This window comes from Homo sapiens, chromosome 9 (assembly GCF_000001405.40).
Source record: "Homo sapiens chromosome 9, GRCh38.p14 Primary Assembly".
NCBI lineage: Eukaryota > Metazoa > Chordata > Mammalia > Primates > Hominidae > Homo > Homo sapiens.
In genome coordinates this window covers 110,530,398-110,551,289 of record NC_000009.12, presented here as the reverse complement: position 1 = coordinate 110,551,289, position 20,892 = coordinate 110,530,398, and the positions used below count along the sequence as shown (strand labels likewise).

The 20,892-nt window shown below is 37.3% G+C and overlaps 1 protein-coding gene and 1 non-coding gene across 2 annotated transcripts in view; both read left to right on the top strand.

Annotated features, from left to right (window-relative positions):
- The window catches only part of SVEP1 (sushi, von Willebrand factor type A, EGF and pentraxin domain containing 1), a 214,494-nt gene that overhangs the window by 28,452 nt on the left and 165,150 nt on the right, over positions 1-20,892 (top strand). Inside the window, exons 2-3 of the mRNA NM_153366.4 lie at positions 1,186-1,441; positions 4,999-5,175. Of these exons, the coding sequence (NP_699197.3) occupies positions 1,186-1,441; positions 4,999-5,175 (433 nt within the window). The remainder of the gene's footprint in view (positions 1-1,185; positions 1,442-4,998; positions 5,176-20,892) is intronic.
- On the top strand, positions 11,492-11,600 carry LOC124902331 (U6 spliceosomal RNA). The gene has a single exon (XR_007061908.1). It is a non-coding gene; the product is annotated as a U6 spliceosomal RNA (small nuclear RNA).

The following is a 20,892-nucleotide window of genomic DNA, read 5'->3' as shown; positions in this document are numbered from 1 at the left end:
ATAGTCTGAGAGAATCTGGATCTCATAGTCTGAGAGAATCTGGATCTTATAGTGAGTCTGCACCCTAAAGTGAATTGTATCAAACATTTTAAAAATCACAATATCTCCTTTTCACTTTAACACAACATAGGATGCAGTTGTCACTCTTCCTGCCTACCTTCTGAAAAACATGTAGTGTTTCTTGAATTCTTGCGGAATAAACATGAAGTTCTTTTTTAAAAATTAATTTATTTTTTAATAGGAATTTCTTCTAAGAACTTACCAGAAAATATACCCTGGTGCTTCTTTATCTTTTCTACTCATCTGTAGTGAAAAGCAACAACAGCAAATTGAATTAAATGCCAGATTCACCACTGGAGTTCTTGTGCCTTTATAGTCTGGTGTTACAAAGCATCAATGGCAATATATAAATGTCTTTTTAAAAGGTTTCATTTTTTAAAATTCTATCTGTAGAGAAGGAAGAGCATATATCATTGTAAAACAGAATTCACTTGTCCTAAAATAATAAAGTCCCAGTGTCAGATTTAGTGAATCAGTATTTCTGGATACCACCAAAACTAGCTATTTTTATGCTAGTACCGGGTGGTCCAAAAAGATGAAGTATTGAATCAATTCTACATTTTTTGGAGGAGCAAGTGGAAAAACAAATATAGGAAGCAGGTCAGCCATTATTGACTCTGGAAAAGACATGTTCTGTTAAATTTCCTTCCCATTAGGATTTTGGTGTATGACCATGCAGTGGTTTGGATAGAGATGATAGACAGATAGATAGATAGATAGATAGATAGATAGATAGATAGATAGATAGATAATTTGTGGAATTTGGATTCAGATTTTGTTCATATTTTGAGAGCCTGAGAATCAATAAAAATAATATAATAATAAGTGATAATATTGATTAAAAATTCATTCCATAAGTGTTTGTTGTACTTCATTAGCAAGCTCCATCAGCAATGTTGATGAGGATGATAGTTTTTAAATGCTTTTGAGGTTTATTGTGGCTCTGTGAGAAGATCATTGTAGGCTCTCATCTGTGCCTATTTCTGTTTTACTCTGACTAGGGCTTCCATCCCTCATGCCTGTGAAATACTAATGATCTTTGCAAGTACTGCCTTACGTAAGAAGAGAAGCACACAGTAGGCAAGACAGTACACACTCATATTAACTTTCCCCATTTCATTACAGCAAATTCTTCTTCATGCTAGAGAAAACTCAACAAAAGTTGTATTTCTCATCACTGATGGATATTCCAATGGGGGAGACCCTAGACCAATTGCAGCGTCACTGCGAGATTCAGGAGTGGAGATCTTCACTTTTGGCATATGGCAAGGGAACATTCGAGAGCTGAATGACATGGCTTCCACCCCAAAGGAGGAGCACTGTTACCTGCTACACAGTTTTGAAGAATTTGAGGCTTTAGCTCGCCGGGCATTGCATGAAGGTAATGGAAACCTAATGGCATCACAAAGGTACTTTTAAATGAGGCTTCCTTGCCTCTCACTGCTTGAAACCCATGGGAGGGTAATATCAAACTCTCACAAGGTCTTTGCTGAATATGATGCCCATGTGTCCTTTGGGCATCATGAAATGTGCTGAACTTCACAGAGATGACATTCTGACCTTGCAACAAGAGTTCCTTTTGTTTTTTTTCTTAGCAGCTGTTATGTGTTTTCACTAAAATATCCATATGCTCCCACCTTAGAATCAGTGGAATGAATTTAGGTGTGTTTTGAGGCCACACACAGAGTGGGAAGCCTTGACTTAGATCTCTTTACAGTTATCTGGACAGAGGAAGTAAACATTCAGAGACATGCTCAGTGAAACTTACCAGAATGTTTCCAGAAATACACATGAAGATACAGGAACAATAAATACTTAACACATACTTCTTGCCCTGACCATTTGAAGATAGATATGCTTATGTAAAAGCTTAAGAGCATTAACCCTAAAAGGGAAGGAAATCAGCAAATGTATCATTATTAGAGCTTTCTGTGCATCACTTATAATTTAATTATAAATTATAATTTAAAAATTAAATCATAATTATACATTATAATAAGTTAGCTGTGTAATATAAATTAAACTTCCTATCAGAATATAGGTTTATGTCTTAGTGAGCTAGGAGAAGAAAATACAGACTAGGAAGAAATCACAGGAAATCTAGCCTCAGATTAAAGTGATATGGCAAATTAGGCTTGATCCTTGCAGATATCCATGTGAAAGATTCAGTTTGAGGGGAAAACCATGGCAACATGAGTTCTAAGAAATTAGTGATGTTCATAATAAGTGGGTTAGCTCTACTGGAGTTTCTTTTTAAAAAAAATAAATAAATAAAGATGGTGTCTCGCTATGTTGCTCAGGCTGGTCTCAAACTCCTGGGCTCAAGCATTTCTCCCACCTGGGCCTCCCAAAGTGCTAGAATTACAGACATGAGCCACCATGCATAAAGCAAAAAAGATTTATCTCTCTGAGGGATGATGCTGGCCAAAGTTTTTGGAGGCTGGGATTTTAGTGAAGTGAGCAAGGACTTAGGACAGGGCTTAGAAGCAGCAAGAAACTGAGTATGGGAAATAAAGTATGGATTTGCGTTTAAACAGGTTTGGATCTAAGTTCCAGGCCTGCAACTTAATGAAATCTAATTTTTAAGAGCTAAGCCTTAAAAATCCAGAATGTCTGGATTTAAATCCCGATTTTGTTACCTACTAGCTGACGTTTTCTGTTTTTTTGTTTGTTTGTTTTGTTTTTACATATCATTCATCTTTTATATTCCTTAGGTTTCTTGTAAATAGAATAGGAAATGAGAATAGTACCTACTTCATAAAATTGTTACAAGGATTAAATGGGTTAATACATATAAAGGGATGAGAAAGTTCCTGATGGCTTGTTATACTCAGCACTCAATAACTGTCTACTATTACTGATATTTATTATTTATTAACAAATTATCATTATTAATTCCCCTAGGCAATTTATTTAACAACTATGAACCTCAGTTTTCTCTCCTTTAAAAATGGAAACTATTATTATATGTATCACAGAGGTTTTCAGGAGGATTAAATAAGATATTTAAAACATCACCAATATAGTATGTAGCACATGGAAGAAGTTCAGCAACTGGCTACCTTTATTTCTCCTTTTCTCCAAGGAAAGTGATATGTTAAGAGGGAAAACAGGGTGGTTGCAGTTGGAGATACTGGGTGTTGCCAGATGGGATTATGAAATTATGAGTGCTATCAACAAATTTCAGCTCCTGTCATCCCTCTGTCTTCTAGGAGTGGAGACTTCTGTCCTGATGGAAGTTGACCCAGAAACTAGAGTCAACAAGGAAAGGGTTTTGGTTATCATAATGCAATAGGGTTTTAGGAGACACCACATTTATTACACTAAACTAATATCTAAAATGTGTAATACTTTAGTTGAGTTTCTAGGTTTAGTAAGTAAAACCCTGTTTTTACTGGAAAGACATGATCAGATCAAAGGAAATGAGCCTCATTTCCCCTGCCTCTGTGTTCTCTGCAGCTACTTTCAATTTAGATGGATCCACTTTGGGTTTCACTGCTGTTCATGTTTCTGGCCATTCTCGATAGACATAGGTTACAGAATAATAGCTTTCCCCATTTGTACCTCCTCCACTTATCTCTCTTCCAGACCTGAATGCTGGTACACTAGTCTTGACAGCTATGTTTGTCTTTTCTTTTCTTCTCACCCTTTTTGATACAGGGTCTCATTCTGTCACACAGGCTATATAGTGCAGTGGTGTGATCACACCTCGCTGCAGCCTCCACCTCCCAGGCTCAAGTGATCCTCCCACCTCAGTCTTCCAAGTATCTGGGACAACAGGCATGTACCACCATGCCCAGCTAATTTTTTTAAAAATTGTTATTGTTTTTGTAGAGACAGGGTCTCACTGCATTACCCAGGCTGGACAAGTAGGTTTTCCTTGCTCCCTAACTTGCTTTACTGCCAAATAAACCTGTGGTCCAGTGTCTCAGAGCTGAGTCCTAAGGGCCTGTGTTACAGATCTTTTACCCACACCACAGTCTATTGGAAGGAGCTTACCAGGGTACCTGGTTGCACTGGTTTCTTTCCCTTGGGGCTGGAATCTTCCCTTTGCTTTGCCCCTATCTAGATGCATGGAGATGGATGTTCTATATTTGAGTCTACCACCAATCTCCTTCCAAGGTGTCCAATTGCAGCCCGTGTGTCTTGCTGGAACTCACCCACTTGAATTCCTACTATAAGCCCATCACAATATCTGGGCTTAGAGCCCCATGGACCTAGTATTGGAATTTAGTCTAAAACTTTCAAACTTCTTGAAAAGAATAAAGGACTTACTGTTTGTGTGATTCTAGGCCATCCATTCTGGGTCAATCATATTCAACCTTACCCACCCTGTCAAGTCACTTTCTAAACAGGTCTGCCTGAGTTATTGCATTCCCAGCATGCCTCACTTCAGAGCATGGCTCAAGTAATAAGAATGGTCTTTATTTACCTACTCAAATACCATAGAAGTGACAGTGTTTATTCCAAAGTTGGTGGCTCACAATTAACATCTCTGTGCAGTGATCAGGATGGTGGCTTTGTTTCTCATTGGAACAAGGATCTGGGGACTCGTTGCTGGGGCCTGACCTCACCCAGAGGCAGTGGAATGCTGCTGCTTTGGAAGCCAGGGGAATGACCTGCAGAACTGACTGCACTGTTTCCTGCAGCATCTGGAGATTCCTCACTACACTACTTAATTTCTGCCTGACCCTGAATGGCCTTGAGAACTTATGATGAGGTCCCAGACTGGAATAACTTAACTGGCTTCAACGAATTCCCAGAGCGCGCTAGTACAAATAACACACATTCGTATTTGGGTGGGAGCAGGAAGCAGTTGGGAATTAGAGGGATATGGAAAGATATTTTCTCCAGCTTGCACTTAAATTTTAATGACCAGAGAATGTAACATTGAACTGTGACTCATTTTTATCGCCCTCTGTCATATGTTATTTGTAGATCTACCTTCTGGGAGTTTTATTCAAGATGATATGGTCCACTGCTCATATCTTTGTGATGAAGGCAAGGACTGCTGTGACCGAATGGGAAGCTGCAAATGTGGGACACACACAGGCCATTTTGAGTGCATCTGTGAAAAGGGGTATTACGGGAAAGGTCTGCAGTATGAATGCACAGGTGAGTCTCCAATCTGTGTATATCAGTTGTCTGTTGCTGTGTAACAAATGATTCTAAAATGCAATGGCTATAAGGAATACATGCTTGTTATTGCTCATTAGTGTGTGGGGTCAGTGGCACATCTCTTTGGGGCTTCAGCTGTGCTGACTCATTTATTTGCCATCAGCGGTGAGTTGAGTAGGCTGCTGGCTGATCTCAGCTGGATTCTCTTATGTGTTTGGGTGTCTGACAATAGTCTGACCTAAAATGGCTTTGTCTAGGACAACAAGGCTGTCCTTTATGTGGCCTCTCATACTCCATCAGGCTAGCCCAGGCTTGTTCAGGTGGGGACGGCAGGGTTCCAAGAAGAAGAATGGAAGCTTGTAAGGCCCCTTGAAGCCTAGGTTCAGAACTGGGAGGAGAAAGATTTGGGGTCTTTGTAATTAGTCTAATAAAACAGCCAAATCTGTCCTCTAGGCATGTAAACCAAAATGTGCCTCAATCTCTCTATGAGATTGAAGCCAGTGGAATTCTTGTCCCCAGGCCACATGTAACTGGTAAGATTTACACATAAAAAAATGCATCCTTCACTTGATGGCTTTTTAAACTCTTCAGGAGCCTCCACAAAAGTGCATTGAAAAGTTCTAAAACTGCCATCACTTCGAAATGGAATTGGAATGACTACTATCAAAAAGACAAAAAATTACAAATGATGGCAAGGATGGAGAGAAAGAGGCACTCTTAAACACTGTTGGTGGGAATGTGAATTAGCATAGCCATTATGGAAAACAGTATGGAGGTTCCTCAAAAAACTAAAAAGAGAACTACCATATGATCCAGCAATCCCACTACTGGGCAGATATTCAAAGGAAAGGAATTCAGTATGTCAAAGAGATATTTGCATATGCATGTTTCTTGTACCACCATTCATAATAGCCAAGATATGGAATCAACCTCAGGGTCTATTCAATGGAAGAACAGATAAAGAAAATGTGGTCTATATACACAATGGAAGACTACTCAGCCATAAAAAAAGAATGAAATCCTATCATTCGTGGCAACGTGGGTGAGCCTGGAGTTGTTAAGTGAAACAAGTCAGGCACAGAAAGACAAACACCACATGTTCTCACTCATATGTGGAAATTTTTAAGATTTGATCTCGTAGAATTAGAAAGGAGAAGAGTGCTTCCTAGAGGCTGGGAAGGGTAGAAGGTATGGGGGATGAAGAGAAGTTGGGTAACAGATATAAATTACTACTAGATAGGAGGAATAAGTTTTAATGTTCCATAACACTGTAGGGTGACTATAGTTAACAAATAATTTATTGTACATCTTCAAATAGCTAGAAGAGAGGATTCGAATGTTCCCAACACGAATAAATGATAATTGAGGTGACAGATATGGTAATTGTCATAATGTGATCATTACACATTATATACATGTTTTTAAAATATCTTACTGTGCCCCATGCGTGTGAATAGTTGTTACACGTCAATTAAAAAATAATAATGAATGGGATTTATTTCATTGACATTTGTAATTTTTCCGTCTCTAGGTTTTCTTATAAGAAGATCTTTATATTTTTATATCTTATTAGAGAGGCAAGAAAGGAAACTTAGGAATCTTGTGCTCTACATTATATTTTAAGAAAATCGAATATTTTAAAGTAGTACATAGTTTTTCTGTATTGGATAGCATTTGTTGGATTTGTTTTTTACCTAAAGAGCAACTTTTTTTTTTATAGCTTGCAGCTCTTTCATGATTAGCTGTTTTGGAAAACTGTATCCCCATGGAAATTAACACCCACAAGGAAAATTTGGGAGCACTGGGTTTGCTTTATTTAGTACCATGTGGTCATTCATTGCTTGTTTCGTGTGAACATTATTTTATTCTGGCATTTTGTAGATGGGTCTGCTCTCCACATAGAAATGTGGTTCTCTTGTCTGTCTGAAAGTTTCTCTCTTCTTTTCTCCTTTCTTTTTTCCTTCTTCTTTCCTTCTCTTGGGACATTTCCTCTTGCATCTTTCTTTTACTCCTCTCATCTCCTTTCCCTTAATTTTTCCTGCTTCCTCTGGCCTTGATCCCAGCTGGCAGAAACCCCCTTCCTGGGTCCAACCATCCATGCTCACCCAGCAGAATCACTCCTTTCTTGGCCCTGCTCCCACCCCACCCAGCAGGATTTCTCACTTAAGCAGAAAAAAGGTGGGGGGTTGGGAGCAGATCAGCTCAACTGCCTCTGAGTTGGCAAAGTGCCTCCCCTTGTTTTTCCTTCCCTTTGAATCTTCCCACACTCTCATCAACAGCCCAGCTTGGCACTCTCTCCAACCCCTATTCCTTACTCCCCCATCCTAGCCCACCAAACCCAGGCAGAAGAGCTCATTTTCTTTGCTGGATGCTGTAGTCAGCATGTCTGCTTTCCGTGTGGTCCTAGACTGAACTGCTCCCTGCCAAACAGCCAGTGGCCTGTGGCTGCCTACAGCCTTAGCCACTCTGTGCTGCGACTCTTGCTGTTCCACAGCACTAGAATTTTGCATCCCAGGGGACAAGCAGCAGGAAGAAAGAGGGGGCAGTTCACAAAACCACTGCCCCCAGTTACCCAAGTAGCCTTGTCTACTACCAATAACACATTCCAGGATGAAAGGCGCAGCAGTCTGTAAAATATATGTAGTTGGGTGGGCCTGTCATTAGTGCATCGGTAGAGGGGACTGGAGCACTTCTGCTGTTGGTTCTAGCCAAGAACACCAGGCACATAAGGATTAGTTTATCCATCCCTGCCCTTAAATTAGTAAGCCTCAGCTTACTGATACTGAGTGATGCTTTCTTACATACAAGATTTAAATTATATAGAGTTGCATCAACACAAATTTTCATATGGTCATCTTCAATATTTGTTTCTAAGAGATTAGGAAATGTGGAACTGGAACTCCAAGAGGTGCCTCTGTCTTTGTGTAGCTGTAGGAGGCAGTACTGATCACTGGCTTCTCTGGAACAGTAGGAGCTAAGAGAAAAGAAATTATATCCTTCCTATGGCATGAAGGACTCATGACCAGACTCTCCTTTCAGAAAGGCAGAAAGAAATCTTAGCTCTAAGTCATCCAGGACCAAAAATCTGGAAGCAGTGAGCCCCTTTATTTTTTTTATTTTATATATATATATATATATTTTTTTTTAATTATACTTTAAGTTCTAGGGTACATGTGCACAACGTGCAGGTTTGTTACATACGTATACATGTGCCATGTTGGTATGCTGCACCCATTAACTCGTCATTCACATTAAGTATATCTCCTAATGCTATCCCTCCCCCCTCCCCAAAAGAAGACATTTGTGCAGCCAACAGACACATGAAAAAATGCTCATCATCAGTGAGCCCCTTTAAAATCCATTTGGTAAATAAATGTTGAGGATGTTCTCCACACCAAGCCCACTGCTAGGTATGAGGTAGGTATTCAATAGTGAGCAGACAGATATGGTCACTACCTTCTTGGGACTTACAGTCTAACTGCAAAAATCAGTTTGTAATTGCCAACAATGTTATGTGTTATTAAATTTTATTTTTAAATGTCCATAGTATGAAGAACACACAACACAGAAGTTTCAAGTTAGACAGACAGCTGAGATCTGAAGGATGACTAGACGATAGCTGTTTTATTACTTAAGGAGAGGATGTTAAATTTCATTCTGAATAGTTGGAATTCTGAGTATTTATCCTCACTGCAGAAACAATGCCTTTCAGAAGGAAATCATTCCCTTTTAGATCCAGAAGTAACCCTAGAGATTATCTGCTCTAAACCCCTCATTCTACAAGAGGAAATTGAGGCCTCAGGAAAGATGAGTATGTTGCTCAAGATAACATACCCAAACATCAGCAGAACCCCGGGAAGAACCCCAGACACTTTTCTCTAAGTCCTATATTATTTCCAAGATATCACACTGCTGTCTTCCCCCATGTTTGAAAATAACATCTTATATACATTGCTTCTCAGAGACAACAGACACTGAACTGTGTTCAAAATGTTTCGCAACACAGAAAGAGCTGGCTTAAATTCAGCCTCTGCCAATTACAAACTGCATGGCTATGAGCAACTTAATTTCTTCTGTTCTGAGTTTTTTCTGTAAAATGGGCTTAAATTATAGTATAATTTTATACATATCTACATGCATATATATGCATGTCTATGTACATAGATATGTATAAATGTAATATGTAGATATCTATGTATATAGATATATATAGATATCTATGTATATAGATATATATAGATATCTATGTATATAGATATATATAGATATCTATGTATATAGATATATATAGATATCTATGTATATAGATATATATAGATATCTATGTATATAGATATATATAGATATCTATGTATATAGATGTATGTAGATATGTATATAGATTGCATGTGTGTATGTGTATGCAAAACTAGTTGGGTTAATAGAGAATATACTTAGAATACATAAGATGGTATGTGGCACATCAATTCTCAACCAGGGGCGGATTTTATTATTAACGATTATTTTGAGATAATATAATTGTCATGAGAAAGCTAATGAATGAGCATTAAGATAATTACTTCAAGTATGAAGTGACAACCGTATATCTTATGAATTCTACTGTTCTAGGCTAGACTAGGGGTATTATCCTGTGCATTCACCAGTGCATGCTGGCGCACAGGCCTTGCACCTAGTAAAGAGCCCTTGCACCTACTAAAGGTGGAATACACTTTTAATCTGATGAGTATCCAGTGAAAAGCAAGACTATTAGATGGGAGAAAGCAGAGGAATAATGTGCCATTGAATGTTGAAGAAAGCAGATGTTATTAAGCTTCAGGTCAATGACAAGTTTAAAAACAATAATAATAAAACAGACAAAAAGTAGAGGTTGTTTACCTTGATTAGGATAAGGACAGATGCTGAGATGAGTTATATTTGTTAGTTTCATAGACAAGTAGAATATTAGAAATGCCCATAAGGGTTTTTCCTCATCATTCGTTCGGAAGATGAGGAAATCCCATCCCATCATCATGTAGTAAATTTGTGGCAGAGCTGAAGTAGAATTAAGGTATTCCAATTCCCAGGCCAAGGCTATCTCACAGGTACCCTTGAGACCAAAGATAGCTGACCATCATGATATTACTGTGGTCTTCTCTTTCTTCCTCGTTGTTGTGGGAGATTGGTGGTCTGGGTTAATTGAGTCTTCAAACAATGACCTCTCAAATCTGTAGCCAAGGCGGTGGCTTCCCTTGAAATGAACGCCACTGTCACAGTAAGCAGCTACTTCATGGACAAGATCCTGATGCACAAAAATATTGTAATAATTGTAGATCTGTTCCATGTCATGAAAATCCTAACTTGAATACCAGTCTTTGTTAGAGGTATTTGTTAGAAATCACTGACAAGTAATAGTCTGTCAAAGAGTTCAGTTTTATAGCATATGATATGTTTGAACTGGTTTATAATTTCCCTTGACTCAAAACTTCAATGAATTAGTTTCAAGTTAATCATGTGCTTTTAGCTAGTGGTCTTGTCGTTCTTGTTCTTTTCTCTTGATGTTACATTACTCCTTAAGAAACCAGAAATGGAGAAAAACAGGAATACCCAGATATCAATACTTTTCTTGTGGTAAATCAATCAATGTTTTACAAAAGCATTGGTATTTTGCTGTTGTTGTTGTTGTTTTTTTAAAAAACCCTACATAACTCTGTTTCATTTACTGCAAATATTTTGGATGACTCAGGAATGTAGGTCTGGTATTTTAACACCACATAATTAGATTTAGAGGATGGAGAAAATATTATTCTGGGTTTAGTTATTAAATTTCAGCTAAGGGAACAGTATTGCAAAACTGTGGATCTAATGAAAAGAAGGTGTTACTTACATTTCCACCTCTGTTACTAGTATGACTGTCTTCATCCTTTACCTTTCACCTAGGCATTTGGATAGTGAGAATGATGATGATGATAATGATAATGATGATGGTGATGAGAGCAATAACTGATAATAATAACAATAGTAGCTAATATTAAATAGTGCTTACTATGTACCAGACCATTTTCTAAGCATTGTTTATATTAACTCGTAATCTTTACAATAACTCTCTGGAGCATTTTCTCATTTTATAGATAAGGAAACTAAAAGTCTGAGAACTTAAGCAATTTGTCCAGGGTCACACAGCTAATAGAGCTGGGATATGAGCTCGAGTTTTCTGGCTGCACAGTCTATAGTCTAGCCACTTTGGTCACAGAACATTTAAAAATTAATTTCAATTTTTATTATTCTATGGGATAGAAATTTAACAAACAGACTCACAATTAAGAATATAATTTTTGTGCTTGCTTTGGCAGCATATATACTAAAATCGGAGTGTTACAGAGAAAATTAGCATGGCCCCTCTGTGCAAGGGTGACTAGCAAATTCATGAAGCATTTCTTATTTAAATATACATATATATATGTAATGTACATATATTATACATATATATGTAACACATACATATATGTGTATATATATACTTTAAAAATCTGTTAAGTATTAGTTTGTCCCTTATAATATTATCAATATTTATTATCAATATTTGATCATTTTAAACTTACAAAGTAGCATCTTCATATTGTTCAACCTAATACTCAGAAGGAAAAGAACAGAATGAGTTATATAAAATTCAAATCTGGTCATACTGTACTCTGTTTAATGTTTTCGAATTATGACCCACTCATACAATAAAGTTCAGGCACCTTCACATGGTATAAAGGCTTAGCATGACTTGACCTCTCCTTTATTCTTTGAGCTGAAAGCTCGAACTAATTCTAGTTTTCTGCAGCTCGTATGCTATTTCATTCCTTGGATCTTTATTCATGCATTTTCTGGCTCCCTTTCCCATCACACCTAACTATTGTCTTTGTTCCTCCTTCATAAGTGTTGCTAACAGGCAGTGACTTTCTAATTCGTTTGGTATCCCCACTGCTTGTCTTCAGAGCCTATAGTAAGTAAGTGCTCAAGAAAAAGGATGTCAGTAAGAAGTAAACTTTAATACCAGAATTTTAAGTGGAACAGAACTCATTGCTGAAATCTTAGGCAATTGCAAGATTTTCATGTTTGCCTTGAGCACCACAGGATTCCTAGCACAAAGGTACTAGGTAAGAAATTCTTAAAATGCTTTTAATTTATTTAAAACCAAAATATTTACATTTGATTAACCTTTGCCAACAACAAATCAAATCCTAGATTAGTCATTTTAAGATGGATAGATCATCAAATCACATTGAGAGTAGTCAGTGAACTCTGGTCGTAAATCCAAGCAGTTGCAGCTGTTCTGAATTTCCCCGGAGGGATTTGAGAGACACAAAGTATAGAGACAACAGGCATCTTGAGGACAGTGCTCTTTTGCAGAGATTGACTATATTTCAATGAGTTAGGCATGATTAGCAGATTGAACATTATAGCTGGATAGAGGCCAAGGCTGAAGGCCAGATAACTTGAGCCAAAGCTCCAGCTATATTATTTTCATAAAAGGAGGAAACACTATCGAAATAGAAACACTGGAATATTTATTTGGGAGTATCTTATTATACGTGTAAATATATGCACACAAATCTCCACTCCTACCCTGCACACATACACACTTTCCTGTCTAAATATTATATCATTTCTTTGGAAAGAGAGAGGACAAAGAGCTCTAGAAATTCTTGAATGAAAACCAAAACATTTGGAAATCTTGTTCTGTAAGCAGAGCTTGGCTGATTTCTTTTCCCCAAAAATATCCTCAGTGGTATGTAATAATGGATTTGTAAGGTATAAGGAATTTATACAATGTATTCCCATTTGCTTTTTATGAAGGAATATCGCTAGCATGTTGACACTGGTTCCATCAACTTAAGCTGGAGAATTTGTAACTGTTGCCTAAATCAGGCTAGTTTGTTCCATTTCTATTGAATGAGGTAGGTATTCAGCCCTGATAGTGCATTTTCCAGTCTATCATGATTGTAACACACATAAAATTAGACTATTGGTGTGAAGCATCACAAACCCCCAAAGTCAGTGTGTTGTGTTCCTTAGAAATACTCAAAAAATATATACAGTTGCCAAGAATTCTCAAGATAAGGATTGTGATCAATATCTGCTTATTGTTATAAGATCTTATCTTTCTCTTCTTCCTTTCCCTAGCCCCATTATAAGAGACTCTCTCCAATAAAAATGATACGTGAACAAAGGGAAAACATTTAACATCTACTAACTGAATCATGATCTTCAAACACTTGCTCATGTAACCCCTAAAAAAAAAAATGGAAAATTTACAAATCCCTCGTTGATTTTTAAATGGCCATCTAAATTTTTTTGGCAGGACTTTAAAAGATGGTAATTCATAATACTGTATTGACATTTTAAAATAAAATTATTGTATCAGTTTCAAATATACCTACTAAAATCTAAATATTATAGCAAATGTTTTGAGTATCCATTTGTTAACAAGCACCCTTTTCATTACAGAAATTTTGCTGGCTTCTTATTTTCTTAGTCCTCTTCTATTCTACTTCCACTACATAATTCTATTCTAATGTAACATATTTTTTTCCAAAGCCTTCTGTTGATCACAGAATTGTACTTCTCCACTACAAAAATTGTGGATAAAAATTGAAATTAATTTTTAAATGTTCTGTGACCAAAGGTGCTACTAGACTGAGTTATTATCACAATTGCTGTTTGTATATAATTTGTCATGCATGTTATACATTTTGATACTTTCTCACACATAAAAATACTATTGAAAATTCACTTCTTAATAAGATGCATTGTTAATTAGTTCATGTATCCATGGATTTTTATTATTCATTGTTAGGTTAAGAGAGCATACAACATCAATTTTATTTCCTTTTTTCACTTTTATGGATTTTAGTGCTGAAAACCTTCTTCATATAAATATGTACATGGGACTTGAATAAGTTGTGTTAAATTGATGTCACTCAATTCTTGGAGTTCCTCCTGAGTTGCATGCCAAAAATAACATCGGTTATCTATCATCAAAAAAGTATCGTAAATGAGTTATTAGCTTACAAGTCCCTTAGGTCCTTTACATCTTTATTGAAATTGAAGAATTTGAAACATTTTGACGTACAAAAGGAGTTGTTACACAATCATCGCAATCATTCACTTTCTCAATTTCTGGGATGCCCTCCAAAAAGACTTTACTAGGACTGTTAAATGACTATCTGTTAGTTTTAGTTATGCAAGATGAATAAGTTCTGGAGATATGCTGTAAAACAGTGCCTGTAGTTAAGAAAAACTTCTTATAAAATGAGTTAAGGAGGATACCTAATGTAAATGACGAGTTAATGGGTGCAGCACACCAACATGGCACATGTATACATATGTAACAAACCTACACGTTATGCACATGTACCCTAGAACTTAAAGTATAATAAAAAAAAGAAAAGCTTCTTAAAGACCCTGCTTATTATTTCTTGATTAAAGAAGGGTTTCCAAATGTCAAGATTTTGAATCATGCTAAAGATTTTTCACCTCGGGGCAATGTACCCTAGTAAAATTTGAAGGGGTGAGAAGTTCACATTTCTTTTGAAAAATGAAATGCAATTGTGAAAAGGTGCCATAGACACTTTCTCCAGCATACTAATTTAGTTATATATGTATGTTGAGGTTCTGGAAATTGGTTCTTTTAAAATGATGCATGTGACATTCACATGCCACTTGCAAAGTCTTTGCCTTACATACATTTCTCATTTGCAGAAGAGGAAACAGTTTTGAATAATTTAAGTAGTTTTTCTAATGTCATTCAACTATAAAGAGGTAGAGTTCACTGTGACCAAGTAGGCTTCATCCCTGGGATGCAAGGTTGGTTCAACATAAGCAAATCAATAAATGTGACGCATCACATAAGCAGAATTAAAGACAAAAACCACATGATTATCTCAATAGATGCAGAAATGGCTTTTGATGAAATTCAACATTCCTTTATGTTAAAAACTCTTAATAAACTTGATATTGAAGAAGCATACCTCAAACTAATAAGAGCCATCTGTGACAGATCCACAGCCAGCATCATACTGAATGAGGACAATACTTGAAAACTGGCTTAAGACAAGGATGCTTTCTCTCACCACTCCTATTAAACATAGTATTGGAAGTCCTGGCCAGGGCATTCAGGCAACAGAAAGAAATAAAGGACATTCAAATAGGAAGAGAGGAAGTCAAACTATCTCAATTTGCAGAAGACATGATTCCATATCTAGAAAACCCTATAGTCGCTGTCCAAAAACTCATTCAGCTGATAAACAACTCCAGCAAAGTTTCAGAATATAAAATCAATGTACAAAAAAACCAGGAATGTAATTTCATTCACAATTGCCACAAAAAGAATAAAATACCTAGGAATACAGCTAACCAGGGAGGTGAAAGATCTCTACAATGAGAATGACAACACACTGCTCAAAGAAATCAGAGATGACACAAACAAATGGGAAAACCTTCCATGCTCATGGGTAGGAAGAATCAGTATTACTATGGCCATACCTCCCAAAGCAATTTACAGATTCAATGCTATTCCTATCAAACTACCAATAACATTCATGACAGAACTAGAAAATACAATTTTAAGTTCAAACCAAAAAAGACCCAGAATAGCCAAGACAATCCTAAGAAAAAAGAAAAAAGGTGGACGCATCATGTTACTCAACTTCAAACTATACTATGGGCCTACAGTAACCAAAATAGCATGGTACTGGTACAAAAACAGACACATAGACCAATGGAACAGAATAGACAGCCCAGAAATAAGGTCACACACCTACAACCATCTGATCTTTGACAAAATGGACAAAAACAAGATATGGGGAAAGGACTCCTTTTTCAATAAATTGTGCTGGGATAACTGGCTAGCCATATGCAGAAGATTGAAACAGAATCCCTTTCTTATACCATATAAAAAATCAACTCAAGAAGGATTAAAGACTTAAATGTAAAACCCAAAACTATAAAAACCCTGGAAGACAACCTAGACAATACCATTCTGGACATAGGAATGGGCAAAGGTTTTATGACAAGACACCAAAAGCAATTTCAACAAAAGCAAAAACTGTCAAATGGAATCTAGTAAAACTTAAGAGCTTCTACACAGCAAAGGAAACTATCAACAGACTAAACAGACAGCCTACAGAATGAGAGAAAATATTTGCAAATGCTGCATCTGACAAAGGCCTAATATCCAGCACCTATAAGGAACTTAAACAAATTTACAAGAAAAAAAGCAACCCCATTAAAACATGGGCAAAGGACATGAACAGACCGTTTTCAAAGGCATACACGCACCCAATGAGCATATGAAAAAATGCTCAATACCACTGATCATTAGAGAAATGCAAATCAAACCACAGTGAGATACTACCTCATACTAGTCAGAATAGATATTATTAAAATGTCAAAAACAACAGATACTGATGAGATTGCTGAGAAAAGGGAACACTTACACACTGTGGGTGGAAATGTAAATTAGTTCAACCATTGTGGAAAGCAGTGTGATGATTCCTCAAAGAGCTAAAAATAGAACTACCACTGGACCCAGCAATCCTGTTACTGGGCACATACCCAACGGAATATAAATCAGTCTACCATAAAGACACATGCATGCAAATGTTTATTGCAGCGCTATTCATAATAACAACAACGTGGAGTTAACATAAATGCCCATCAATGACATTGGATAAAGAAAATGTGGTGCATGTACACCATGGAATACTATGCAGCCATGAAAAGGAATGAGATCATGTCCTTTGCAGGAACATAGATGGAGTTGGAAGCCATTATCCTGAGCAAACTAACACAGGAACAGAAAACCAAACACCACATGTTCTTACTTGTAAGTGGGAGCTAAATGATGAGACGTCATGAAGACAAAGAAGGAAACAATAGAAACTGGGGCCTACTTGAGGGTGGAGGGTATGGGGAATGAGAGGATCAGAAAAAATAACTATTGGGTACTAGGCTCAGTACCTGGGTGATGAAATAACCTGTATAATAAACCCCCATGATGTGAGTTTACCTATATAACAAACCTGCACATGTACCCCTGAATCTAAAGTAAAAGTTTAAAAAAGTGGTGGACTTAGCCTGCAGACCCAGATCTCTGACCCTAGAGTTCATGCTGTTACTTGCAATTCATCCATAGCACTCATTGCTCAGTCATTATCCATCAAAGAAATGATCCAGAAATATTTTGCTGCTATTTCCAGGTTATATTTTCAATAAACAGTTGCTTCTAAATTGTAGCTTAGTATTCCCAGTGTTTGGTTCCACAGGGCCTGCATGGGGTTATTGTTCACTAAATGTTACATGATTAGCCAAGTTTAGATGATGGCCAATGTTAGCAATTTGAAAATGATAGCCCAAGCTAGAGGAAATCGGGCTATGCTTGTTCAAATTGCCCATCATTCCAAACTCGTTGAAAACATGGTGTGCCTTATAGTGTGCTAAGTGCTGGGGATGCCAAAATACACACACACGTGTGCGTGCACACACACACACAGACACACAGAGATAGTAACCCCGGGTATCCACAATAGATTGGTTTGAGGATAGTAAAATTCAAGGATGCTCAGTTCCCTTACATGTGGTTTGTGAATGATTCAGTCATTATGCAACTGTGTGCTCATATCATGTATAGTTATTGATACCAGTTAGTGGGATGAATCCTGATTCTGTCACCTACTGTGTTTTTCTGGGCAGTTTTTCATCTCTATGACATGAGTTTCCTAGTCTATGAAATGTGGTTAATAATAGTAGGCTCGTGAGAAACATTAAATAAGATGTGAATAAAAGCTTGCTAAAGGGCCAGGCATGTAGTAAGTGCTGATTGGCATAAATTACTGTGCTCCATCAGTGGTAGTTCTCTACAGCAGGAGTTCCCAACCTCTGGGCCATGGACCGGTACTGATCTGTGGCCTGTTAGGAACAGGGCTGCATAGCAGGAGGTGAGCGGCAGGTGAGCAAGCCTTACCGCCTGAGCTCTGCCTCCTGTCAGATCAGCGGCAGCATTAGATTCTCATAGGAGAGTGAACCCTATTGTGAACTGCACATGTGAGGCATCTAGTTTGCATGCTGCTTATGAGAATCTAATGCCAAATGATCTGAAGTGGAACAGTTTCATCCTGAAACCATCCCGTACCCTAGTCAGTGGAAAAATTATCTTCCATGAAACCAGTCCCTGGTACCAAAAATGTTGGGGATTGTTGCTCTACAGGAAGCAATTTTGCCCCCTCCCCAGGGGACATTCGGCAAAGTTTCTGGAGGAAACTTTGGTTGTCATAGCTGGAAAGAGCTACTATTACCTAGCAGATAGCAGTCAGGGATGCTGCTAGACATCCCACAGTGCCCCAGACAGCCCCTGAGAGGCTACAAACATCAATAATATTGACGTTAAGAAACCCTGTTCCATATTAACAGATTGGATTAGTGCATTAAAATGATTCAAAAAACACTACTGTAATTCTTTTTAAAAACTTTTAGAAGAAATATCAAATTCTGTGATTCTACTAGGGTTGAATGATCTCTTGGGTATGATCATTGCAGCATCTTATGCTCCAGATACCCCAAGCTGCTAGTGACTCCTCAGTCACTTCAAGCCTTTTCATGAATCCACTTGTGCAGTTTTGTTCCCTTTGCCTAGAATACCCTCATGCCTTGTGTGTCCGTTCATTTCTTACTAGTCCTTCTCGATTTACAGCAAACTAACTTCTATGACACCTTTCCTCTCATCCCTTCTCCCTTAGATTTATAGCTCTGACACAGCTAGACCTGAAATTTGAGGGTCATAAATATCTTCTCTCTGTTCACACTTACCATATGGTATTATAATGTTTGGTAGGTTTTCTTTTCTCTAATATTCTATGAATTCCTCTGGGGCAAGATTATGCCTCCTTTATTTTTTTATAGCCTCTCCTAAAAAACATATGGACTTGGAGTAAGCATTAATAAATTTTTGGTGAATGAATGAAGGAGTAAATAAATAAAGTGAGATGCATGTTTAGATACTAGAACACAGCATATGGGAACTCTGCTTGGTTCCCAACTTCCTGGGAATTTTCCATTCCTTTTTTGGAGAAGTGAAGGTGAACAAGTCTACTGACCCTGGGAAGCACTGGCTTAGTATCAAAATAAGCCATCTGGAAGGCTGAGTTCAACAATAGGAAGTGGCTAATCACACATTTATCTCTTTTATGTTATGTGGTTACTAAGATTGTTTCCAAATTTATTCCTAAAACCACAGTAGTGCACATGTGTGTGTCTAAAGCTATTTGCATATATTGATGGTTTGGGGTAGTGTTTTAATTCATGCAACAGTGCAAGACATAGCATTCAGGGTACTGTGGATTTTTACTAAACGAGCTATTTAACAAATCCATTAATCAAACTATTTCTACCATAGGTGGCTGTATTAGTCTGTTCTCACACTTCTAATGATGATATACCTGAGACTGGGTAATTTACAATGGAAAGAGGTTTAATTGACTCACAGTTCTGCAGGGCTGGGGAGGCCTCAGGAAACTTACAATCATGGCAGAAGGGGAAGTAAACATATCCTTCATGTAGTGGCAGCAAGGAGAAGTGCTGAGCAAATGCAGGGAAATCCTCTTATAAAACCATCAGATCTCATGAGAACTCACTCACTGTCACGAGAACAGCATGAGGGTAACTGCCCCCAGGATTAAATTACCTTCCTCTGGGTCCTTCCCATGACATGTGGGGACTATGGGAACTACAGTTCAAGATGAGATTTGGGTGGGAACACAGCCAAACCATACTAATGGCATAATATTTTCCAATAAAACTTGAGGTTTACAAATGTCAAAATATGGAAGCAGTTAAATGAAAGTAAATCATGAGCTATAGAACAAGTTATAAAAAAATCAAATCACTATATATGAAATATTTAAGACAAAATCATAAATGTCAATAAAGCAAGGGTACTCTATTCTACAATTTAATATTCAAAACAAAGTTGCTTTATTATTTGCATGCCATATTATCATTCACTTGGAAAATCCAAAGGAATCAACTGAAAAATGCTAATATTAATAGAATAGATGTGCAAGGTGGCAAGATAGTTTAAAATCAATAAAATTTGTTATGGAGAAACATTACACTTTTTAAAATGTGATAAAGTTCCATTTATACTAACAAGAAAAAAATACATTTTCTAAGAATAATTTGAAAGAAAATTGTGTGACCATCATGAGAAGCTGTAAAAAGCTGTACAATTTTACTGATCCTGATATATGAATAAAGACTGGGCACGGTGGCTCACACCTGTAATCTCAGCTGTTTGGGAGGCTGAGGTGTGAGAATTGCTTGAGCCTAGGAGTTTGAGACCAGCCTGGGCAACATGGTGAGACCCCGTCTCTACAAAAAATACAAAAATTAGCTGGTCACTGTGGTGTGCATCTGTGGTCCCAGCTAAATGGGTGGCTGAGGCAGGAGAATCACTTGAACCCAGGAGGTGGAGGTTGTAGCCAGCCAAGACCATATCACTGCACTCCAACCTGAGCAACAGAGCAAGACCCTGTCTCAAAACAAAATAGAAACAAAAACAAAAAACTGATGTATGAATAAGAATACCAATTTATGAATTTATGCAGGAGGAATTGCCCTTTCCAGTTATTATAATACTTATGTATACTTTTCATCATATTCTATTCCATGTATCAAAGTGTCCGTAAAGCAATG